The following is a 26069-nucleotide window of genomic DNA, read 5'->3' as shown; positions in this document are numbered from 1 at the left end:
CCTACTCTCCCAACTAGGAGGGAGAGGGAGGATAAAAAGAATTGGAGGGTTATTAATACTTGATATTTCAAGTAAAAGAGAATTGAAATCACAGTGCTTTCCCTTGATTGTATGATTTAATTTATTATTGAGAATGTATTTAAATCACAGCACTGATATTCCCTAGTTAAATGGCCTAAGGATTTAAGAAACTCCTATTTAAATTTCTGGTGCTGGGGAAATGTGTGATTAAAACTTTATAATGTTATTTTAGATGGTTATTTTTGAAATTTACATTTTAGAGAACATTATTTTATCAGCGTTTATAACTAACTGTTTATATAATAATAAGCTATCCTTTTTGCATTGGTTGGTCTTTATGTGGGTCTTGGAAAATTGATGATAGTAATTATGGATTTAACATTTAGTTTTAAAACTTTCTGAAATTAATGAAAAATTAAGGTAGGAAGATGTCAGGCACATGACAGGAAGGATGTACAAGCCTGTATCCCAGACAAAAGAGTATCTTTATAGGAAACAAGTTCCTCAAGTTTTGGGGATTACTTTAAGGTCTTTCCACCAAGGTTTGCTGCAGATCAACTCACCTGTTTTATTTATTTATTTATTGCATTTTGACAGGACTGAAAATGTGATCTGTTAGTATTTTTTTAAAGTTCCTATTATAGAGAAACACAAACACATTGTAGAGCTGTACAAAATAATTTCTTTCTTTATATCCTTATTCTATAAGCTTTTTTCTATTAATTTTTTTACTTCTTGTTTATAAAAAAATGAAGACACAAACACACACATTAGCCTAGGCCTACGCAGGGTCAAAAACATCAATATCACCATCTTCTCCCACCACATCCTGTCCCAGGGGTAGTAACACACATGGAGCTGTCACCTCCTATGATGACAATGCCTTCTTCTGGATACCTCCTGAAGGACCTGCCTGAGGCAGTTTTACAGTTAATTTATAAGTTGAAGGAGTACATTCTAAAATAATAGTAGAATGTATGGTATAATAAATACATACATCAGTATCATAGTCATATCACATTTATTATCTTTATCAAGTATTATGTACTGTACATGATTATATATGTTAGACTGTTGGAGACTGGCAGTGCAGTGTCAGCATCACCAGCATCACCACAAACAGTGAGTAATGTGTTACACTATGATGTTACAATGGCTATAACGTCACTAGGTGGCAGGAATTTTTCAGCTCCATTTTAATGTTATGGGACCACAGTCACATATGCTATCCATCATAGACCAGCATTGTTTTGCAACACATGCAGTGCATGATTGGGGATGGGAGGAAGTGTGAGTGTATTTAGATCTGTGATCCATTTTGAGTTAATGTTTGTCAATGTTGTGAGCTAAGGGTGCAGCTTCATCCTTTGCTTGTTGCTTTCAAGTTGTCTTTGAATAGCTTTTACATAGTAAAGGAAACACTGGTAACTGTTGTAGCTAAGAGTATAACTGTATTGGGAAGATGGGGATGGAGGAGGGCAAGAAGGAGCTAGAGTGAGTGCTAGGGGACAGGGAAGAGAGCTCATCTTGCTCTTGCATAGAGCCGAATCAATAAATAAAGCCTAAATAGGAAAGTCAGGCAGTAACAATATAAGCATGTTATTTAGAAACATAGAGGTAAATACCCAAATGATTAAATAAAAGAGGTGAAGGTGGTGGCCTCTGGGTTCATTGAAATGGGTGGGGTCAGAGATCACTGTTTTCCACAGCAGAGCTTTAAAAATTATGTCTGTAATTGTGCATAAGTTGATAAAAAACTTCAAGAGTAATTTAATGAGGGGAGCCCTAATTAAATATGAAATGTTATCACATGGCTGCAGTGCTTACAGCTGTGCAGCAGTGGCACACAGATGGACAGCAAGATCAGTAGAACAGAATGTGAAACCCAGAAATGGATTCAAATGCTCGTAAGAATTAGTATGTGATAAGGTCATATTTTAAATCCATGGCAAAACACAGGCCATCCATTAAAGGGTGCTGGAATAAGTGGGTAGCTATTAAGGAAAAATGTAAAGTTGGAAGTTGAATCCACACTTCACATCCACTTTGAACCAGAAGGGTAAGAAATTTAAATATAGTAAAATCTTCAAAGTGCTAGAAGGAAAAACCACATTTGACAAAACCAGTGAAAGAATGAAAGGAAATGAGGGTAAGTGTGAGTGTTTACCTCCTTCCTTCATAGCAGAAGTGATAGAACACATCAGAAATAGTAGCTTGCTGTTTTAAAAATCATGTTTAAAACCTGGTAAGAGAACCCGGGAGGCAGAGCTTGCGGTGAGCCGAGTTTGTGCCACTGCACTCCAGCCTGGAGTGAGACTCTGTCTCAAAAACAAACAAACAAACAAACAAAAAACAAACCTGGTAAGAGTTTGTACCATCTCTTTTTAACCTTAGAGGTGTATTTTTAGGAAAGTGTATCCTAAGATAAAGAAATATGTCTATTTCTAGTAGCTGCAGAGATTAAAATGTTTGTGTTAAAATAGGTAGAAGTGGTGGGGGCTGGTGGCTCACACCTGTAATACCAGCATTTTGGGAGGCTGAGGCAGGTGGGTCACTTGAGCTTAGGAGTTCGAGACAAGCTGGGGCAACATGGCGACACCCCATCTCTACAGAAAATACAAAAATTAGCCAGGTGTGGAGATGCGCACCTGTAGTCCCAGCTACTTGGGGACTGAGGCAGGAGGATCGCTCGAACCTGGGCAGTCAAGGCTGCAGTGAGCTGAGATCTCACCACTGCACTCTAGCTTGGGTGACAAAGTGAGACCCTGTCTCAAAACAAACAAACAAACAAATAAACAAAAAAATGGGTAGAAGAGTTTATTTCTCTTCTGTTAAAAACAAGTTAAATCAATTTTGTTTTTGGCTACAAGTAACTGTATATTGTGATACCTCCTTAATAAAAATTTTGTTTTAACTCTACATGCACCAGCAATTAATGCTTTTCCCTAACATTTAAAATGGTTATTTCTGGGTGGTATTTTTAAATTTAAATCCATCCATCGTGGATTATTGTTCATACTACATTTCCAATTCTGTCACTCAGCATTAACTGCCTGTTTGTGTATGGAGTGATTCAGAGGTGCAACACTGGGAGAACACAGCAACCCCAAGCTGGAGAGAGGGCACATGGCATTTTATTCTGGTTCTTAGAAGACTGAGCCAGATTGAAGAGGCATAGAGGTACACTCAAGGCATTGGCATGAGGGCCTGGGGACAGAAATGTGAGAGACATGATCCCTGCTCTCCCATGGCTGGGTTCTGGAGCTCTAAATGGCTGGAGCGGTTTTATTTCTTCTGCGCCTCCTCAAGTTTGCTGGAATGTGAGCCTTGTTATCAGGGTCAGCTTTGACGTCAGGATCTCAGTCTTCAACTCTGCAGCCCACACGAGAGCCTGTGCCTAGTGCTCTGCCTTGGGTTGCTGGTACTCTATACATGTTTGAAAACTGAATTTTGTTTGTGGATTTTTGCTTGGACTAACAGCCAAACAAGCAAAACAACAGTCAACACACATATGCAGCTAGCATTTCAGGAGCCTTGACCCTGGGGCTCCCAACAGATACATAAAGTTGGGGTCACTGAACTTTGAATTTCCGAAAGCTGCTATGGAGATTATTGCCTTTATAGAATTAAAGAGCCTATCAAGGAATGGTTTCCATATACATTAATTCTGCCCTTTTTCTCTCTTTTATCTTCCAGATATATCATACTTTGTTCTGGCCTCTTGAATGGACAGTAGCTGGCAGAGAGAACAACACTTGTTATGCAAAGATAATCTGCAATAAATTCGACCATGTATGTAATACCACTAGAAGCCAAAATGCTGTGATTTTTAAATGTAGCTTTTATTTTTAGTATTTGGATTTCTATAATTTTTTTTTTTAGAGACGGGATCTTGCCATGTTGCTCAGGCTGGTCTCCAACTCCTGGCCTCAAGTGATCCTCCTGCTTCAGCTTCCTGAGCAGCTGGGACTGCTGCACTTTTATAGTCTTTCTAAGGTAGCTTTCAGGACAATGCAGAGCACCTCCACGTTGTCATTTAGTTAACATGTCACAGAGGCTGAGCAGTGACAGTTTGTGATTGAGCCCTACCAGTGTCCTCTCAAAATACATCACTGAAAGCTGCCTTTTCCCAGGGCCATCTTGATAGCTTGATAGTTTAAACTTGATAGTTTAGAACTAGAAGATCTGTGAAAATTTTGGTCATCAAATAATAAGTTGTATGTATGCATTTTATAAACAGACTGAATGTGTGTCAAAAGTCTTTAGATGGAGATGTTCACACAAAGTGAAACTTGACTTACTGAGCTAATTCCTGATGCTTTCACTAAAGCAGCAGCCCATTATTGGAGGCTTTCCTCCTCCCAGTTATGAGGGGTGAGCATGAAAATGGTTAATAGCCTTCCTCAGTAGCGTAGTTTAAAGCACAGTTTGTTTATAATTTGCTTTATAAAGAATTCTGAATGTAGAAAGCAGTGTTAAGACTTGGTTCTTCTCTTGAAGAGTTTATCATCTGGGGAGAGGAAACATACAAATAGATAAATATGAACTGCAACAAGTGACATCTACATAAAAGTTTACTGAACAGCAGTCATTATCTTGTTTAATTCTCACATCTCTGTATTTATCTTATTCTCAGTATAACAGAAAACAGGGTGTTGCAGGCTAGTAGCCCATTAGCATGTGCTCTTTTGCCTGAATGGTGAAGTCATCCAGAGCTCTAGGGCTTAGTCTGTTGGTAGTTGCATATGGCTACAGGGCAGTGACAGGGATGGCGGTCATAATGGCCCTGAAATGCTCCAGGTTGGGCAGGTTCACAGCTGTGCTCCTGAGGGTGGGTGCTCATGTGCTGGGCTATATCCTGATTCTTTGGGACAGAGTTATCTGAGGTCAATTTTTGGCAGTTGTGGGCGGCCTTTCCAAAGGGAGTAGGGAGAGACTGTACACATTGTTACCCTCTGAAAGTGAGAGGGTTGGGGTTTGATGGGAGAGCCGCTGCTGAAGGTGGGACTTGCAGCTGTCATGCTAGTTCTGACCTCCTCATGAGGGTGTGGGCTGCACCTCTGTGGCTGTCAGCCCCGTTTCCCATCTCTGAGCCCCTCTGCTATGTCCCACGCCACCCTTCTGGCTCCCGCCCAGATCCCTAGGCCACACTCTTGTCCTTGCTCTTTAACTATGGGGAGCATGCCCCTTCCCTTTACCCTGGCCACATGCCTATTTCTTGAGCAGAACCCTCGAACTTACGAAATGGAAATACTTGACTCCAGCTCTAGGGTCAAAATTGTAAATGAGACTTTCCTCACTCAGGACCTTCATTTACACCCCTTTTCTGCTTGCTGAGCAACCCACCACCTCAGGTTCCAATGCAGTAGTCTTCTGTGGGCCCTGGGAACTCACTCTGAAGTCCCAGCCCTGGCAGCTTCTGCCTGCCTCCCCTCTGGAGTGCCCGTCAGCAGATGTGGATGCGTGTGACTGTTCTGAGCTGTTGCTTTTTCCAGAAGCTTAGTGGGCAAGGGTTTCTCCTGGCCCTGGCCTCCGTTGCCCTTTTATAGTCTTTCTCTTCATCTATTGTATGCTTTTACTGTTGAAGATCACAGTGAAGGATAATCTGATGAAGGAACATTGACAAATGGACAGCCTAGAATGCACCGTTACCGTGGAAAACGACTGCACATCTTGCTTCCCATCTTGGTGGGTCAGCTCATTGCCTGCACCCCATACCTCTCAGCACACAGCCCTGGGTGACAGCCCTGCACCAGCCTCTCCTTTGTCTCCACTTGATGTTGGGAGCAGGGCATCTTGCTTCCTGGGCCAGCAACCTCTTATTTCCAGTAAAACCTGCTGCCCTAGAGTTATTCCAATGTTGGACTTTAATTCAGATTTGTTATGTTGTTGTTGAGCATTGTCTCAGCATAATTTGGAAATTTACATCATACTAATGAACTCCTTCATGCAGTGGGTAAATTGCTTGTTCTAGTAAATTTGAGTGCAAATTAACTCTGGATGTGCATTTACTGGCTCATTTAACAGATTCTTACAGTGGCTTAGTTTCATGGTAATGTTCTCTGCTCACTTTGACATTGAAGTTCTTTTTCTGTAGTAGATACTGTATATTTTAACTGTGAATTTGCAGTGAATGGATCCATATTCAGACCATTAACCTACTGGGATTCTCTTTGTTTTGTTTCTGTATTAAAGGATCGGGTGATAGGATTTCATATTCTTGGACCAAACGCCGGTGAGGTTACCCAAGGATTTGCAGCTGCAATGAAATGTGGGCTCACAAAACAGCTACTTGATGACACCATTGGAATTCACCCCACATGTGGGGAGGTAGGAAACAGGAGGTTTTAAAAATTGGCTTCAGTTGATGTAGTTTGAAAAACTATTATAAAGCACTTGTCAGAAAGATGTCATATTAGTAACTGATTTGTATATTTTTAAATTTATTTTATTTCATTTTATTTTTTTCAGACAGGGTCTCACTCTGTCATCGAGGCTAGAGTGCAGTAGCATGATCTTGACTCACTGCAACCTCCACCTCCCAGGTGCAAGTGATTCTCCCGCCTCAGCCTCCTGAGTAGCTGGGACTACAGGTGTGCACCACCATGCCTGGCTAATTTTTGTATTTTTAGTAGAGATGGGGTTTCACCATGTTGGCCAGGGTGGTCTCGAACTTCTGACCTAAAGTGATCCACCTGCCTCAGCCTCCCAAAGTACTGGGATTACAGGCATGAGCCACCATGCCTGGCCAGATTTGTATATTTTAAAGAATAGCATAAATATAATATTCAGAATGTGTTTTTTTAAAACAATACTAACATCTAAATATGTATTTGTTTTCTTTCTCTTGAACAGGTGTTCACGACTTTGGAAATCACAAAGTCGTCAGGACTAGACATCACTCAGAAAGGCTGCTGAGGCTAGGCCTGCTGCTGTTTAGTTCTCCTTGTCATATTCTCATTTCTCTCAAAGATAAGAATGCTCTCGGATAAAATGAGCCTGTGCTCATGACAGCTGCTCTGTTACTCAGGGACCAGTGCAGGGCTGTCTTACGACACTTAGATGAGAAAGTAGACAAGGAAAGAGGACAGCAGTGGGCATCTGCCTTGTGGTCTTGCTGACAGCGAGAAGCAGTGGGACTGCTTCCTTGACGCCTTAGCTTGGAGCCCCGTTATGAGGTGAGCCAAGGCTGACTCTCGCAAGCCAGGACTGAGCTTCCCTCGGAAAGACCTTTGAGTGGCACCATTCACCTAAGTTAGCTTTTCTGGTCGCTATTGTTTTTATCCCCTTTGCTTTGTTGTTTCTGTGAAAATATATTTTCAGTTAAGAAATGCTATAAAGTAGTGGTTTTCTAGTGCGTGGGCCTAGAATTCACACATGCTCACTGGTGAACAGTGTCTGTGGGCTGCTGTGGGCTGCATTTGGATAGCTGTCTGCATTAGCAGGAAGCTGTACACACTGTGTAGGGTTAGTCATCTCTTTTCTTTTTTGAGGCACATTTAACCTACTGTCAAAACGCTGACTCATGCTTCACCCTCACACTCACTACTTGGTGGTGATAACCTTGAAGCTATTCTCCCCTAATTAATATCTCGAGACTGAGCAAAATATCTCATGTAAGATAAAAGTACTTGAATTGCTTTTTCATGTTCATCTTAATAGTATTATTTCCAAAAGTTTTTAATACTGTATTATGTGAAATCTAACTAATTTATCTGTGAAATAATTCCATCACAGTCTGTTTAATGATGATAAAGTTCCATAAATGAATACAGGTAATATTAAGTGGTTGCATGGGAATTTACAAACATGTCAGCATTTCAGAGGTCCTTCAAGACAGAGGCCCATCCAAGGTCCTTTTGGAAAACCTCTGTGTTCTTGAGTATGCCACACAGTAGTCAATGCAAGGCTCTTTTAGGCCACTTGCTCTCATGAGCCACACTAGCTGTTTAGCTTAAGATTGGATAGGCTGGGGTCACAATTTCTAGCCATTTGTCTTAAAAGACAAATGTTAAGCTAACAGTTAGGAACACTGTTTGTAGACAGGCATTTTGTTACCCTCTTTGGAGGCAGGGAATGGAGCAGTGGGGGAGTGGGGCTGGGAACCCAAAGAAAACTGACATAGGACCTAGTTATGGAGTGGCTTTTTTATTTGGGAGAAAAAAATGTGTCTAAAAGGTGTAAAGTATGGTGTGGTAATTGCTATCCATGTGGCAGAAACAGTGCAGTGGGAAGCCGAGGGAGATGTTATTAATTTCTATTGGCTGTGGGGCAGGGGTAGGGTAATTGAACAGAGTTTAATAAAAGTAGCTGTATTTGAGCTGAATTGCAGGAGATAAAAGGATTAGATTAGAAGCAATATGGAGAGGGTGTGATTAATGCTTTCAACAGACTTGATTTAAATACTTGATAAAATATATTTTTAATAATTTTGTTACTGTATTGCTGAGTGCCACACACACACAGAGCCAGCAGAATCCCAAATGAAGCAAAACCAAAAACCCTGGAAGCCTTCAACTCCTGCTTTGCACTGAGCATGGGGCAAAAAAAAACGAAATCCCAGGCTTGCATGGGTGGAATTTCTAATAGGAAACCTTTGTATAAAGCTGGAAGCCCAATGGGCTGTACTCCAGTGCAAAGTTGAGTGGGAAGCAGACTGCCTCATAGAGAGAGGCAGCAGAGAAGCCTGTGTTCTCACTGATGTCGGTGGAAAGAAGCAATCCATCTTAAGCATTTGTAACCACTGTCCAGGTTACAGACCATTGGAACGGCTAATTATCTTTCTTTTGCAAGGAGGGGAGGATGCTTACATATAAACCTATCTGTGTTGGCTTCCTTTCACCTTTTTATTTTCCTCTCTGTCTCTTCTCCCTCTTTTTTCCTCTTTTTCCTCTCCTGGGGTAAATATGGTACCTATATATTGATGAGAGACTAATTTTACCTGGAAGATAAAACTAGTATGCATCAAATAACATACAGATGTATATAGATCTGCAAGAAATAATTGATAGTGTCTGTTATAGTGGAGATTTTAACATACTTCAGTAATTTATTAGGTCAGACACACAAAAAAATCAGTAAAGACTTATTTTTGAGTAGCAGAATTAACAAGCTCAACTCAAAGATTGTACCCAATATGAAAGCACACTCATTTCAAGCATGCATGGAATATTTATGGAGTTTGCCTTGTGCTAGGCCATAAAGGCTAGGCTTAAGAAATTTCAAAAGGCTAGTGTCGTATAGGCATTGGCAAGAGGATTTCAGCGGTGGGACTAACTAGAAACCCAAAGACCTTAAACTCCATATAGCATGATGGAAAGTAGAGGGAGGAGTTGGTGTGAGGGAAGTGAGGGGTTAGTGGGAGAACAAGCTGGAGAGTTGGTAGAACCAGGAGCTGCTTCACAGGAAGCAGAGAGCAATAGAAAGTTCCTAGGCTTTGAAGAATGATAAACTTGGGAATGCCTGGTCTCATGACTTACTAGATGTGTGATAGGATAAATTGCTTAAATTTTCTTATTCATTTATTAAGTATGGACAGTATTACCTGTCTCACAGACTTAAAGAATTGAACAACATTTATTAAGTTGTTAATATAGCACTTTGGATGGAAAATCTTGGCTTCTGTGATGATAAGTAGGGTCCCATTAAGGAAAGCTCTTGTGGACACTCAACAGTACAACCAGTAGGCAGGCAGACAGGAAGAAGGGGGACAAATTGCTGCTCTTGCAGACTTTCACTGTGGAAGGGAGCCTCCAGGTTGGCCGCCAAATTGGATCTCCACCAATGGGAAATCACACCTTTGTATAATCCCCGCCTGTTAGACCAGGGCTGGTCTGTGTGGCCAGTAGCATATGGCAGGAGTGATGGTATGTCCCTGCCACGATTAGGTCATGAAGAGATTGCAGCTTAAGTTTTGGTCACCCTCATGCACTCTCTCAGGTCACTTGTTTTGCGAGAAGGCAGCTATCATGTTTTGATGACGCTCAGGAATCCTATGGAGAGGCCCATATGGTGAAGAACTGAAGTCTCCAACCAACAGTCAGCAAGAAACTGAGGTCTGCCAATGTCTGTGTGAACGAGCTTGGAAATGAATGCTACTCCAGTCAAGCCATCCCTGGGCCAGCAGCTTGATAGTAACCTCTTGAGAGACTTTGAACCAGAACCATTCAGTTGGTTACTCCAAATTCCTGATCCTTAGAAACTGTGAGAGAATAAATATTTGCAATTTAAACTGCTAATTTTCAGAGTAATTTGCTACACAGCAATAGATAACTAATACATTCACCAAGGAAAATTAAACTAGTACAGACCTGATGAGTTAATAAAATGTCTTGGGGACTTTATTCCTAGGACAGATAAAATAAACCTCATATAGATTTTAAAATTCAACAAAAAGGGATTAGGGCACAGACTTAGCACTGAACTTACTTCATAATTGCAAACAAGGAAACCCCAAGCAGAGAAGTTCATGGGGTCTAGTGGAGTGCCCTCTGAGTTGGTGATCCTGAGCTGTGGCTGTGACAGGTTCCTGCTAAACTTCAATTAAAGCATCCTTGTCAAAGCTTGCACCAAAGATTACTAGGGAAACCTGTTCATCAAACAAAGCTGTGTTTATTAAGCTTAGCAAGGAAGAGCTCAGCCTTGACAGAGTCGAGTCTCAGTATCATTGCAAATGGGAGTTAGGAGAGAGTACTTTGTGAGACTAGGGTTAGTCATAGGGTAGTTATAGGAGAGAGATTAGTAAGTGTGTCTTGGCAGCAGTGGGTCAGAGTTTGAAAACTATTTGCTGGAATGGTCTGTTAGTGGTCTTATTTTTAGAATTGGGGGTATACGAGACCATATTGAGTTTCTGTTACTGTAGTCTTTTCTTGAAACATGGATCTGAATGAGCTAGTGTAAAAGATTTTCAACTTAGATAATTTGTTGTACAACATGGCTTAGTATGGTTCATCTATTTTTGAGTAATAGTACACTTGTTAAGTAGTTGGCTTTATTTTCCAATGGAGAACCATCCAGTGCTTCTAAGCAGGGAATAACAATGAGACCTGTTAGGATTTTATTGCAAAAGATTATTAAATATTTATTGAGACTTATGTTTCGAGCCATGCTGGAATTACAGTGACTATACTCACTTTTCCTCCATAAGCAAACTGGAGGATATATGAAATGACTACACCCAGACATGGAACAACAAACTGCAGGACGGTGATCCCAGACAGAAGGGAAACAAATGAGGTGATACTTAACGGTTGCCTCAACTTTCTGCATGGAAGTAATTTTCAGCTCCAAACAAAGGGAGAACTCAGACAGCCTGGTGACCTTCCTGAGTTATGGTGGACATCAGAGTTTAGGGAGGTTCAGACAGCTGACAGTTGTAGGGGAGATGCAGGTGGGAGCTATGGAGAAAAGAGCTCCAGAAATCTGCAAAAGGGTGCCCTTGAGTCTTTGCTGAGGACTAAATCCTTAGAATGGAATTCAGAGGACACATCCTATGAAAAGGGGGACACATCCTTAGAATGAAATTCTAGAAGGTTGGGCAAAAAGTGACAGGGAGTTGTAAGTTGAATAATTACTGTAGGTCTCAGAAGGTGGAGAAAAGTTCAAGCTCTGACCACCACAGAGGATTCTTCAATGATCCCTCCAGGCATTTTGTGAAGACCTGGTAAGGGGTCATGTCTTAGTATTAGGGTTTATCTGGAGTGAAAGCTATCTGTCCTAGATAAAATTGAAAAACCCTAGGCTTGATGGAACCACGATGATCCAAAAGTAATGGCCTGCAAGGGAAAGCATAACGCTCTTCAAAGGAAAACAGCAAAACATTCAACAATATGACAACCATAATGTCCAATATTTGGTTAAAAAAATTAATGCACATGCTAAGAAGGAGGAAAATGTGACCCATAGCCAGAAGAAAAATCAGTGAGTAGAAACAGACACAGAAGTGACAGATATGATGGAACTAACAAGGATGTTAAAGCCACTATTAAAACTATGTTCAAGTGTTTGCATGGAAACATAAACATAATGAGAGAAATGGGAGATGGTAAGAAGAACCAAATCAAACTTGCTGAGATGAAAAATTACAATATCTGTTTCAGGGGGGCTCATGAGCCTTAGCTAGTTTGGTACTTTGCTGAAAGTACTCATAACTCAACATAAAGTTATACTCATGCCTATGGATTATTATAGCAAAGGATCAAGTGCAGGAACAGCAGAAACAACAAAAGAAAACAACAGTCAAAGGTTAGATCACACACAGGCTTCCACGACCTCCATGTCTCTTTGAAAGGCATACAGATGTGCTTTTCTCTCCAGCTGTGAACTGAAAGATACATGTGATATATCCCCACCCAAGGAAGCTCACTCAAGTCCTGGAGTTCAGAGTTCTTCAAGGGGGACTGGTCACATAGCTACATGAGAAGCATGGTGTGGATGCCAGACCAGGCACCAGATGCACATCATGAATCTTCATGTTTACCTTAGACACTGATAAGCTGGTTCATCTTGACCCACCACTTTGGGCCTTTATAATAAGACTATCATTAAGCAGTAACTATGTGACCATTCCAGGAGTTTAGTTTTCAGGACTTGGCCAAAGATCCTTGTCCTGGCTACAGGGATACGCAAGAACTGAGTAAAATAAGCCTATTGCATTGTTTCCTGCCCATACCTCAAACTAATATTCACTGGATAGAATCAGCAGCAGACTACACAGTGTAGAAGAAAAAAATGAGTGAAGAAAAGATAGTTTCTACATAGCAGTAGAAACCATCCAAAATGAAGGACAGAAGGAAGAGACTAGAAAATAAAAACGCTGAATCAGTGAGCTCTGAAACAGTCTCAGATGGTTTAACATGTGTAATTAAGGTCCCGGAAAGGGGAAGCAGGAGAGCATCAGAACAATATTTTGGGAAATAATGGAAAAAATTTTTACAAATTTGATGCAAACTATAAAACTCACAGATCTGAGCCCTGTAAACATAACACATCATGCTAAAGGCCTGTCTACCTCAGTACATTTTACAAAGCCCATCATGTCTGGCTTTCAACAAAAAATTACAAGGTATGCTAAAAGACAGGAAACCGTTTGAGACAGAGCAAGCATCAGAACTAGAATCAGATATGATGTGTTGGGATTATCAAATTGGGAATTTAAAACAACTAAAATAAATGTGTTAAGGGTTCTAACTGAAAAAAAGTAGAGAACATTCAAGACCTGATGTGTAATATAAACAGAGAAATGGAAATTCTAAAAACTAAAAGGAAATGCTGGAAATCAAATCCGCTATAACTAAAATGAGGATGGCCTTTGGTGGCTCATCAGTAGACTGGGCACAGCTGGGGAAAGAAGCAGTGAGCTTGAAGACAGGTTGAAAGAAACTTCCCAAAGTGAAATGCAAAGAGAAAAAAGAAATGAGGAAATAAAAAGAGATCATCCAAGAATGAGGAAGAATTTCAAAGGCTGTAACATATGTGTAATTGAACTACCAGAAGAAAAAGGAGAATGGAGCAGAAGAAATATTTGAAGTAATAATGCCTGAGAATTCTACAAAATTAATGACAGCTACCAAACTAGAGATCTAGGAAGCTTGGGGAACACCAAGCAGGATAAATATCCCAACAACAAAAAACTACACCTAGGCATGTCATATTCAAACTGTAGAATTTAAAAAGAAAATCTGAAAAAAGCCAGAGGGAAAAATCACCTTATCTATGGAGGAATAGGAATAAAAATTATAGTAGGCTTCTTACCAGAAACCATGAAAGCAAGAAGAGTAAAGTGAAATATTTTAAATGTTTAAAGGAAAACCCTGCCAACCTAGGATTCCATATTCAGTGAAATTAACCTTCAAATATGAAAGAGAAAGATTTTCTTAGACAATGTGAAGTGGTATAGTGTTATCTGAAGGTTAAAATGCATATTGGAAACTCTAGGACAATCACTGAATTTCAAAAGGAAGTATATATGTAAAGAGAGGAGATAAAATGGAACAAAATAAAATGCTCAGCTGAAACCAGAGAAGACAGAAAAGAGGGATTTAAAAGAAATAATGAGTGCAACATAAAGCAGCTAGAAACATGGTAGATGTTAATTCATGTATATTAATTTAGTAGGTGATTGGGGCTGGACATGGTGGTGCACATCAGTAGTCCCAGCTTTTTGGGAGGCTGAGGCAGGAGGATTGCTTGATCATGCTCACATCACTGCACTCCAGCCTGCGCAAGAGTGAGACCCTGTCTCAAAAAAAAAAAAAAAAGTGGGGGAGACCTAAATGCACCAATTGTAACAGAGCCTCACTCCATTTTTGATGTTTGCTGACAGTTTTTAAACCTCATCCCCCTGTCTCTTTGTCCACATCTGGGCAAGCTGATAAAAAGCCCAGGTGCTTGTGTGAAGTTAAGACTGTGAAAACTCCAGCCCATGCATGGGAATCCCTAATTTCATGGTGTTTAGCAGCCCCACCCGCTGCATCAACTTGGGAAGTCTTCCCTCCTCTCCCAGAAAGCCTCACTATGTGTGTAATAAACCTTTTCATGTGCTCTTGGGGTGTATTTGAGGTCATCAGTCTTGTCAACTGAATCACAGTTGGGCTGCAGATCCATCCTGTCCCTCTGATGTGGTCGCAATAGTTGGCCAGCAAGCAGGACATCTTGATGATGACTATTGTGGCAGGGTGAGGGGTTCCTTCTCTTGCTTTGGCTCGCTAACTGGCTGTGCTGCTTGCTGACAAGCTTGCACTTTGAGCTGTGCTATTTTGTGTTGCATTGTGGAGTTCTGCTGAGCCTCCATTAAGGATTTAACTGACAAAAGTTGGAAATTTTGATTATTGGTATTCAGGACCAGAGCATGGGATTGGGCCATTCCTTAAAGTGGCCTTGGAGCATCTGTCTTGGTACAGATCTACCTGTATGTCTCAGATTGAATTGTATGTCTCACGCACAGGCATAACTGATGCTAGACTCAGGGGAATGACTCCTGCCCAGTGAGCACTGGCTATATTCTTAAGCAGTCATAACCCCTGTTCTATAGTGCTCAGGGGAAAGAATGATACCTTGTGCAATGCATGGGCTCCTCAACTGGTTGTTCATGTGGAGAAGGAGCAGTTAGCTGTGTGACATGCTAAGATCACACTCCTAAAAGCAGGTACTTTACTAGGACACTACAAAATGTCTTTTCAGCTACTGCTGCATATGCCTGTCACTAAAAGGATCTTGATCCTCAAGGTTATAGGAAAAAATTACCCACGGCACTCCCATGGCACAGGCAAGGAGTTAATTCCACAGTTGCCATGTGGGAGGCCTCTAACTAATGATACTGATTTGAGATTCTTTAGGGGAAGACAATTTTAAGTATGAGCAGCATGGAGAGGACCCCATCCCTAAAGTGTATTCAGTAACCACTATGAAAAGGGGAGGGATAGAGGGAAGATAGGAAAGAGGGAAGGAGAGAGAGAAGGAAAAAGGGAGTGAGGAAGAAGGGAGGGAAGGAAAGAAGGGAGGAAAGGAAGCGGGAAGGAGGGGAAGGAAGGAGAGAATGGAAGGAAAGTAGGGAATGGGGAAGGAAGGAAGGCAGGGAGAGGGGAAGGAAGGAGGGAAGGAAGGAAGGATAGAGGTGGGAAGGAAGGAGGGAGGGAGGGAAGGAGGAAAGGAAGAAGGAAGGGAGGGGAGATAATGGGGGTGGGGAGAAGCAAAAAAACTAAAATAGAAGCTCACAGTTTTACCCAATTGGAAATCTAAAATTATCTTTAAAAACTTATATAACAAAAAGATTAATGGACACTGATTGGCTGTTTGTTTCTTTAAAAAAAAAACTTTTTAAAGTATACAATTCAGTGGTGTTAAATAAACATCACCACTATCCATTTCAGAAGTTAAAAAAAAAATTCCAAATTGAAACTACTCATTAAACAATAACTCTCCATGCCTTCTCCCCCAAGCCTCTGGTAACCACAATTCTACTTATCGTCTGTATAAATTTGCCTGTTCTAACACCTCATATATGTGGAATTATACAATATTTGTCCTTTTGTGTCTGGCTTATTTCACTCAGCATTATGTTATAGCATTGTCATAATTTCATTCCTTTTGAAGGCTGAATAATGTTTTGTTGTTTGGATATACTGCATTTTCTTTATCCATTTATCTGTTGGTGGGCACTTGAGTGGTTTCCACCTTTTGGGTATTGTGAATAATGCTGCTGTGAACATTGGTGTACATGCATCTGTTTGAGTCCTTGCTTTCAATTCTTTGGGGTATATACCCAGGAGTGGAATTGCTGGATCATATGGTAACTCCATATTTAATCTTTGAGGAACTGCCAGATTGTTTTCCACAGTGGCCACATCATTTTACATTTTCCTCAACAATGCACAAGGTTCCAGTTTCTCTACATCCTCACCAACACTTGCTATTTTCATATCCTAATGGCTGCAAATTGGTAGCTTATGGGTTTTTATTTGCATTTACCTAAATAAAGCCTAATTAAAACATCAGACAAGTGGCCGGGTGCGGTGGCTCACGCCGGTAATCCCAGCACTTTGGGAAGCTGAGGCGGGCAGATCACGAGGTCAGGAGACCGAGACCATCCTGGCTAATGCGGTGAAACCCCGTCTCTACTAAAAATACAAAAATTAGCTGGGCCTGCTTGTGGTGGGCACCTGTAGTCCCAGCTACTCGGAAGGCTGAGGCAGGAGAATGATGTGAACCCAGGAGGCGGAGCTTGCAGTGAGCCAAGATTGTGCCACTGCGCTCCAGCCTGGGTGACAGAGTGAGACTCCTTCTAAAAAAAAAAAAAAAAAAAAAAAAAAAAAAAAAAATCAGACAAGTTGCTATTAAGGTATTCAAAAGTGAGGTATTCTACAAAATACCTCACCAATACTCTTGAAAGCCGTTAAGGTCATGAAAAATAAGGAAGGTCTAAAAAACTATCATAGTCAAGAGAAGCCTAAGGAGACATGGCAATCAAATAAAATGTAATGTCCTGGATGAGAACCTGGAACAGAAAATAACTAATGTTTTTATCTAATCTGAGTGAACTATTGACTTCAGTTAATAATGTAACATGGTTCATTAATTGTAACATGTGTACCATACTAATAAGGGAAACTGGGTGGAGTGAGGGGGTGTGTAGGAACTCTGTATTATTTTCTCCATTTTTTGTACATATAAACTGTCCTAAAATCTGTTTTTTAATGAAAAATCTACAGAAATTAACAAAATAATAGCAAAATATTTTAAACAACTCTATCCCACTAAATTGAAAAAAACTTATGGAAAATGGACAAACACCTGGAGAAACTGACTCGAGAAGAAATAGAAAATTTGAATATTGCTGTATTCATTAAAGAAATAAAAGGTATCATTAAAACCTTTCTGCAGTGAAAAAACAAGACTAAATGACTTTGCCGTCAAATTTTTTCAAACATTTAAGGGGAAAAAGAAGCCAATTCTACACAAATAGGAGAAGGAAGGAAAACTTCCCAACTCTTGCATCCAACAGAACAATGGTACCCAAAAACTGACAAAAATTTTGAGAGAAAATAACTATAGACCGATACAACATATGAAAATCAACTCCAATATTCCTAAAAATTCTATCTTCAATCCAACAAATTATACAATGGATAATACATCATGACCATCATGACCAAGTTTATATCCCAGAAATGCAATGAAATAATATGAGAAACAAAAGAAAGAAAGCAATATAGTCATCTCAATAGATTTAGAAGACAAAATTTTTTTGTTTTTTTATTATGTTTATCACTTATCCTCAAGTTTGCATTTATGATATAAATTCTAAGCTAACTAGGAATAGAACATCCTCAAACAAATAAATGACATCTACAGAACAAGTACAGCTAACATTATACTAAGATGACTGAGCACAGGCAAGGATGCTGACTTTTACCATTTTTATTTAACATTGTAATGGAGGTCCTAGTCAGTTAAGTGGTGCAGGAACTATAAATAAAAAGCACACAAATTTGAAAGGGAGACCTAAATGTCCTTATTTGCTGATGACATGATTGTGTACATAGAAAATCCTAAGAAATCTGCCAGAAATAACTACCAGAACTTCCAGATGAATTTAAAAGTTGAAGAATACAAAGTTAACATAAAAAATCAATTGTATTTCTTGTTTTATTCTTTTTTTTTTTTTTTTGAGACGGAGTCTTGCTCTGTTGCCCAGGCTGGAGTGCAGTGGCGTGATCTCAGCTCACTGCAACCTCCACTTCCTGGGTTCACACAATTCTCCTGCCTTAGCCTCCTGAGTAGCTGAGATTACAGGCATGCACCACCACGCCCGGCTAATTTTTGTATTTTTAGTAGAGACGGGGTTTCACCATGTTGGTCAGGCTGGTCTTGAACTCCTGACCTCGTGATCCACCCACCTCGGCCTCCCAAAGTGCTGGGATTACAGACATGAGCCACCACACTCGCCAATCAATTGTATTTCTAAGAACTAACAACAAACCATATTGAATTGAAAATATGATGATTACAATATCATGTACAACAGCATATAAATATGAAATACTTAGACATAGTTTTAACAAAATATGTGCAAGATCTTTATATGAAAAACTATAAAACATTGCTGAGAAATTGTAAAATGAAATAAAGATATATCATATTTTTGGATTGGAAGAATCCATATTATTAAGATGTTTCTTTCTGCTCAAATTGATTTTTGGATTCCGTGCAACCCCAGTGAAAAATCCCAGCTTTGTGGCCAAAAAAAAAAAAAAAAAAAAAAAATTCTCTTAATTTTTAAAAAATTTCACGCTTTCCGATGGATAATTTGCTGGATGTAGAAATCTGGGTTAATAATAATTATTATTATTTTCGAGACTGAGTCTTACTCTGTCACCCAGGCTAGAGTGCAGTGGCACGATCTTGGCTCACTGCAACCTCTGCCTCCCGGGTTCAAGCAATTCTCCTGCCTCAGCCTTCTGAACAAGCTGGGACTACAGGCGTGTGCCACCACACCTGGCTAATTTTTCTATTTTTAGTAGAGACACGGTTTCACCACATTGGCCAAGCTAGTCTTGAACTCCTGACCTCAGGTAATCCACCCGCCTTGGCCTCCCAAAGTGCTGGGATTACAGGCGCAAGCCACTGTGCCTGGCCAGTTTTCTTTCAGCAGTTATAAAATGTGGTACCACTTCCTTTTAGCTTTCATGGTTTCTAATGAGAAATCTGTAATTTGAATTGTCCCTTTATAAGTAAGTGTTGCTTTTCTCTGGTGGCTTTCAAGACTCTCTTTCATTTGTGCCAGTTTTATCATGATGTATTTAGATATAGATTTCTTTGGGTTTATCCTATTTAGAGTTCACTGAGTTTCTTGCATCCTTAGATTTATGTCTGTGTCAAAATTGGGATATTTTCAGCCATTAGTTCTTCAAATATATTTTTATCCCTGCACCCTTTCTCCTCTTCTTCTGGGACTCTGATGACAAAAAGGCTAGATATTATTGTCACACAGTTCCCTGAAACTCAATTAAGTTTAATTTTTTTTCCTGCCAGTTGTTTAGATTGGATAATTTCTGTTGATCTGTCTTCAGGTTCATAGACTTTTTAATCTGTCATATCCATTCTGCTATTGAGTCTATCTGATGCTTATTAAAATATTGGTTATTGCATTTTTCAGTCCTAAATTTTCCATTTTGTTGTTATTTATATCTTTTGTTTGTTTCCTGAGCCTTTCTATTATTTTATTCATTTCAGGAATATTTTCTATTACTGATAGGGACATTTTTATAAGAGCCATTTTCATATTTTCATCAGTTAATTTCACATCTGTATCAGCTCAGTGCTGGTGTCTATTGATTGTCCTTTCTTACACAAATGGAGATTATCTTGGTTTTTCATATGCTATTATTTTATATTGTATTCCAGACATTTTGAATATTATAAGTCTCTTGGTCTTATTTAAATCTTATAGCAAAGGTTGGCATTTTCGTTTTATCAGGCAATTGTCCTGATTGGGTTCAGGCTGCAAGTTCCTATGAGCATTGTATGGGGTTGGTTTCAATGTCAGTTCCATTTTCAAAGTGTCCTGCCACGCAGTGTTCTCTCTGCAACTTGAAATGTCCCACAATTCAGTTCTCAAGGCCTATAGTGTGCTGTTTAGGGTCATATCCATAGGTGTGTAGCTTTGAGTGAGATCAGTGATTTATAAACAACTTTGTGGGGTTGCATTCCCAAGTTCCTTCCTCTGTGCAATCTCACTAATATTTTCTAGTTCCCTAGGACTCCCTTTTTTTGTTTTTCTAGCCCCAAAGCTGGGATTTTATTCACCTCTCTCTGCCACACACTTTATGCAACTCTGCACATTAAGGGCCCAGTATCAGGAGGACAGAGAGAGGAAAAAATGGGGTTGTCCTACATTCCAGAGATAAGGTTCCCCTCAGAGTTTTAGGCCTCTGCCATCACTGCTACCAATCTCGTTGCCATGGAATTGCTTGGGGGCTGAGCATGAGCAGAGAAAAGGAAAAAAACAAAAAGCAAAAACAGAATTTCTCCCACTGTCTCTGAGCATCAGGAAGCCCTTTTCCCATTGCTCAAGTCAACAGTAGAAGGGCTTCAACTAGAGCTACCTGTCCTTGCCAATACCCAGTTCAGAGTTTCAGACTGCACCAACCAGCCATTCCTCTGTGCCTCTCTATCTCCTCAGGCCTCCCTATTCCCTGAGACACAGCAATATTGAAATTAGGCCAGTTAATAACCCTACAGTGGCCTCTAAGTGTTCAAGTGAAAGGAAAGGAAGAGTTGTACATCTCTCACTTTAAATCAAAAGCTAGAAATGATTAGGCCCAGTGAGGACAGCAAGTCAAAAGCTGAGATAGGCTGAGAGCGAGGCCTCTTGTGCCAAAGAGATAGCCAAATTGTGAATACAAAGGAAAAGTTTATGAAGGAAGTTAAAAATGCTATACAAGTGAACACGTGAATGTTTCACTGAAAGTGAAATAACCTTATTGCCCATATGGAGAAAGTTTTAGTGGTTTGGATAGAAGATCAAATCAGCCACAACATTCCCTCAAAGCCTAATCCAGAGCAAGCCCCAAACTCTTCAATTCTATGAAGGCTAAGAAAGGTGAGGGAGCTGCAGAAGAAAGATTTTAAGCCAGCAGAGGTTGGTTCATAAGGTTTAAGTACAGAAGCTGTCTTCATAACATAAAAGTGCAAGGTGGCCGGGCACGGTGGCTCACTCCTGTAATTCCAGCACTTTGGGAGGCCGAGGCGGGCTAATCACGAGGTCAGGAGATTGAGACCATCCTGGCTAACATGGCAAAACCCCGTCTCTACTAAAAATACAAAAAATTAGCCGGGCATGCTGGTGGGTGCTGTAGTCCCAGCTACTCGGGAGGCTGAGGCAGGAGAATGGCTTGAACCCGGGAGGTGGAGCTTTCAGTGAGCCGAGATCACGCCACTGCACTCCAGCCTGGGCAACAGAGTGAGACTCCGTCTCAAAAAAAAAAAAAAAAAAAAAGTGCAAGGTGAAGCAAGTGCTGTTGGAGAAGCTGCAGCAAGTTATCTGGAAGATCTAGCCAAGATTATTGATGAAGGTGGTAAACAGCAGATTTTCAATGTAAGCAAAACAGTCTTATATTGAGAGAAGATGCTATCTAGGACTTTCACAGCTAGAAAGAAGTTGATGCCTGGCTTCAAAGCTTCAAAGGGACAGATTGACTCTTGTTAATACCACTGGCGACTTTAAGTTGAAGTCAGTGCTCATTTACCATTCTGAAAATCCTAGAGCCCTTAAAAATTATGCTAAATCTACTCTGCCAGTACTCTAGAAATATAATAATAAATCCTGGATAACAGCACATCTGTTTACAACATGCTTTACTGAATATTTTAAGCCCACTGTTGAGCCCTGCTGCTCAGGAGAAAAGACTGCTTTCAAAATATTACTGCTCATTGAGGCCAGGCACAGTGGCTTTGGCCTGTAATCCCAGCACTTTGGGAGGCCAAGGTGGGTGGATCATCTGAGGTCAGGAGTTCGAGACTAGCCTGGCCAACATGGTGAAACCCTGTCTCTACTAAAAATACAAAAATTAGCCAGACGTGGTGGGGGGCACCTGTAGTCCCATCTACTCAGGAGGCTGAGGTAGGAGAATCGCTTGAACCAAGGAGGCGGAGGTTTTAGTGAGCCAAGATCATGCCACTGCACTCCAGCCTGGGTCACAGAGTGGGACTCTGTCTCAAAAAAAAAAAAAAAAAAAAAAAATATATATATATATATATATATATATATATATATATATATATATATATATAGCTGCTCATTGACAATGCATCTGGCCGCCCAAAAGCCCTCCTGGAGATATACAAGGAGATGAATGTTGTTTTCATCTCTGCTAACCCAACATCCATAGATCCCATGGATCAAGGAGTAATTTTGAATTTCAAGTCTTACTGTTTGAGAAACAAATTTAATAAGGTTATAACTTCCATAGATAGTGATCTTTCTGATGGATCTGGGCAAAGTAAATTGAAAGCTTTCTGGAAAGGATTCACCATTCTGACACCATTAAGAACATTCATGATTCATGGGAGGAGATCAGAATAAACATTAACAGGAGTTTGGAAGAAGCTGATTCCAACCGTCTTGGATGACTCTGAAGGGTTCAAGACTTGAGTGGAGGAAGTCACTGCAGATGTGGTGGAAACAGCAAGAGAACTAGAATTAGAAGTGGAGCCTGAAGATGTGACTGAGTTGCTGCAATCTCGTGATCAATCTTGAACAAATGAAGAATTGCTTCTTATGCATGAACAATGAAAGTGGTTTCTTGAGATGGAATCTTCTCCTGGTGAAGATGCTGTGCACATTTTTGAAATGATAACAGGATTTAGAATGATCACAAAATTGGTTGACAAAGCAGCAACAGGATTTGAGAGGATTGACTCCACTTTTGAAAGAAGTTCTACTGTGGGTAAAATGCTATCAAACAGCATCACATGCTACAGAGAAACCTTTTGTGAAAGAGTCAATCGATGTGGCAACTTTCATTGTCTTGTATTAAGAAATTGCCACAGCCCAGGTCCCACGCCCACAGAGCCTTGCTCACTGCTAGCACAGCAGTCCCAGATCGAACTGCAAGGCAGCAGTGAGGCTGGGAGAGGGGCGTCTGCCATTGCTGAGGCTTGACTAGGTAAACAAAGAGGCCAGGAAGCTTGAAATGGGTGGAGCCCTGCCTCTGTAGACTCCACCTTTGGGGGCAGGGCATAGCTGAACAAAAGGCAGCAGAAACTACTGCAGACTTAAACGTCCCTGTCTGATAGCTTTGAAGAGAGCAGAGGTTCTCCCAGCACAGAGTTTGAGATCTCAGAACGGACAGACTGCCTCCTCAAGTGGGTCCCTGACCCCTGAGTAGCCTAACTGGGAGATACCTCCCAGTAAGGGCCGACTAACACCTCATACAGCTGGGTGGCCCTCTGGGTCACCTCTGGGATCCTCTGAAGCTTCCAGAGGAAGGATCAGGCAGCAACATTTGCTGTTCTGCAATATTTGTTCTGCAGCCTCTGCTGGTGATACCCAGGCAAACAGAGTCTGGAGTGGACCTCCAGCAAACTCCAACAGACTTGCAGCTGAGGGTCCTGACTGTTAGAAGGAAAACTAACAAACAGAAAGGAATAGCATCAACAAAACAAAAAGGACATCCACACCAAAACCCCATCTGTAGGTCACCATTATCAAAGACCAAAGGTAAATAAAACCACAAAGATGAGGAGAAACCAGATCAGAAAAGCTGAAAATTCTGAAACGCAGAGTGCTTCCTCTCCTCCAAAGGATCACAGCTCATCGCCAGCAATGGAAGAAAGCTGGACAGAGAGTGACTTTGACGAGTTGACAGAAGTAGGCTTCAGAAGATCAGTAACAACAAAATTCTCTCAGCTAAAGGAGAATGTTCGAACCCATTGCAAAGAAGCTAAAAACCTTGTAAAAAGATTAGACGAATGGCTAATTAGAATAAACAATGTAGAGAAGACCTTAAATGACCTGATGGAACTGAAAACCATGGCATGAGAACTACGTGACACATGCACAAGCTTCAGTAGCCAATTCTATCAAGTGGAAGAAAGGCTATCAGTGATTGAAGATCAAATGAATGAAATGAAGCAAGAAGAGAAGTTTAGAGAAAGAAGAGTAAAAAGAATCAAACAAAGCCTCCAAGAAATATGGTACTATGTGAAAAGACCACATGTACGTTTGATTGGTGTACCTGAAAGTGATGGGGAGAATGGAACCAAGTTAGAAAACACTCTTCAGGATATTATCCAGGAGAACTTCCCCAACCTAGCAAGACAGGCCAACATTCAAATTCAGGAAATACAGAGAATGCCATAAAGATACTCCTCCAGAAGAGCAACCCCAAGACACATAATTGTCAGATTCACCAAGGTTGAAGTGAAGGAAAAAATGTTAAGGGCAGCCAGAGAGAAAGGTCGGGTTACGCACAAAGGGAAGCCCATCAGACTAACAGCAGATCCCTCAGCAGAAACTCTACAAGCCAGAAGAGAGTGGGGGCCAATATTCAACATTCTTAAAGAAAATAATTTTCAACCCAAAATTTCATATCCAGCCAAACTAAGCTTCATAAGTGAAGGAGAAACAACACACAGACAAGCAAATGCTGAGAGATTTTGTCAGCACCAGGCCTGCCTTACAAGAGCTCCTGAAGGAAGCACTAAACATGGAAAGGAACAACCGGTACCAGCCACTGCAAAAACATGCCAAATTGTAAAGATCATCAATGCTAGGAAGAAACTGCATCAACTAACGAGCAAAATAACCAGCTAACATCATAATGACAGGATCAATTTCACACATAACAATATTAACCTAAATGTAAATGGGCTAAATGCCCCAATTAAAAGACACAGACTGGCAAATTGGATAAAGAGTCAAGACCCATCAGTGTGCTGTATTCAGGAGACCCATCTCACATGCAGAGACACACATAGGCTCAAAATAAAGGGATGGAGGAAGATCTACCCAGCAAATGGAAAACAAAAAGAAGCAGGGGTTGCAATCCTAGTCTCTGATAAAACAGACTTTAAACCAACAAAGATCAAAAGAGACAAAGAAGGCCATTACATAATGGTAAAGGGATCAATTCAACAAGAAGAGCTAACTATCTTAAATATATATGCACCCAATATAGCAGCACCCAGATTCATAAAGCAAGTCCTTAGAGACCTACAAAGAGACTTAGACTCCCACACAATAATAATGGGAGACTTTAACACCCCAATGTCAATATTAGATCAATGAGACAGAAAGTTAACAAGGATATCCAGAACTTGAATTCAGCTCTGCACCAAGTGGACCTAATAGACATCTACAGAACTCTCCACCCCAAATCAACAGAATATACATACTTCTCAGCACCACATCACACCTTATTCCAAAATTGACCACATAGTTGGAAGTAAAGCACTGCTCAGCAAATGTAAAAGAATAGAAGTTATAACAAACTGTCTCTCAGACCACAGTGCAATCAAAGTAGAACTCAGGATTAAGAAACTCACTCAAAACTGCACAACTACATGGAAACTGAACAACCTGCTCCTGAATGACTACTGGGTACATAACAAAATGAAGGCAGAAATAAAGATGTTCTTTGAAACCAACGAGAACAGAAACACAACATACCAGAATTTCTGGGACACATTTAAAGCAGTGTGTAGAGGGAAATTTATAACACTAAATGCCCACAAAAGAAAGCAGGAAAGATCTAAAATTGACACCCTAACATTACAATTAAAAGAACTAGAGAAGCAAGAGCAAACACTTTCAAAAGCTAGCAGAAGGCAAGAAATAATTAAGATCAGAGCAGAACTGAAGGAGATAGAGACACAATAAAAACCTTCAAAAAATCAAGGAATCCAGGAGCTGGTTGTTTTGAAAAGATCAACAAAATTGATAGACCGCTAGCAAGGCTAATAAGAAAGAAGAATCAAATTGATGCAATAAAAATGATAAAGGGGATATCACTACTGATCCCACAGAAATGCAAACCACCATCAGAGAA

At 40.4% G+C, this 26069-nt stretch overlaps 1 protein-coding gene and 1 long non-coding RNA gene across 3 annotated transcripts in view, besides 1 other annotated feature; one reads left to right on the top strand and one right to left on the bottom strand.

Moving 5' to 3' along the window:
• The window catches only part of TXNRD3 (thioredoxin reductase 3), a 48075-nt gene extending 40275 nt beyond the window's left edge, over positions 1–7800 (top strand). For both annotated transcript variants that reach the window (NM_001173513.3, NM_052883.3), the window contains 3 exons: positions 3718–3813; positions 6217–6351; positions 6877–7800. In NM_001173513.3, the coding sequence (NP_001166984.1) occupies positions 3718–3813; positions 6217–6351; positions 6877–6945 (300 nt within the window). In that variant the 3' untranslated portion in view covers positions 6946–7800. The remainder of the gene's footprint in view (positions 1–3717; positions 3814–6216; positions 6352–6876) is intronic.
• Positions 3824–4007: a silencer, noted in NCBI's record as "fragment chr3:126329686-126329869 (GRCh37/hg19 assembly coordinates)". NCBI's record gives its function as "represses an EF-1alpha promoter that drives an FKBP-Casp9 reporter gene in an ReSE screen in K562 erythroleukemia cells {active_cell/tissue: K562}" and the evidence as "EXISTENCE:reporter gene assay evidence [ECO:0000049][PMID:32094911]".
• Positions 7310–26069, bottom strand: part of LOC105374090 (uncharacterized) — a 48528-nt gene continuing 29768 nt past the window's right edge. The window contains exon 3 of the long non-coding RNA XR_924455.2: positions 7310–10222. This is a non-coding gene — a long non-coding RNA (uncharacterized LOC105374090). The remainder of the gene's footprint in view (positions 10223–26069) is intronic.

Source organism: Homo sapiens, chromosome 3, assembly GCF_000001405.40.
Source record: "Homo sapiens chromosome 3, GRCh38.p14 Primary Assembly".
In the NCBI taxonomy this organism is placed as follows: domain Eukaryota; kingdom Metazoa; phylum Chordata; class Mammalia; order Primates; family Hominidae; genus Homo; species Homo sapiens.
Note: the sequence above shows the minus strand (reverse complement) of the source record. Positions and strands in the feature narration are given on the sequence as shown.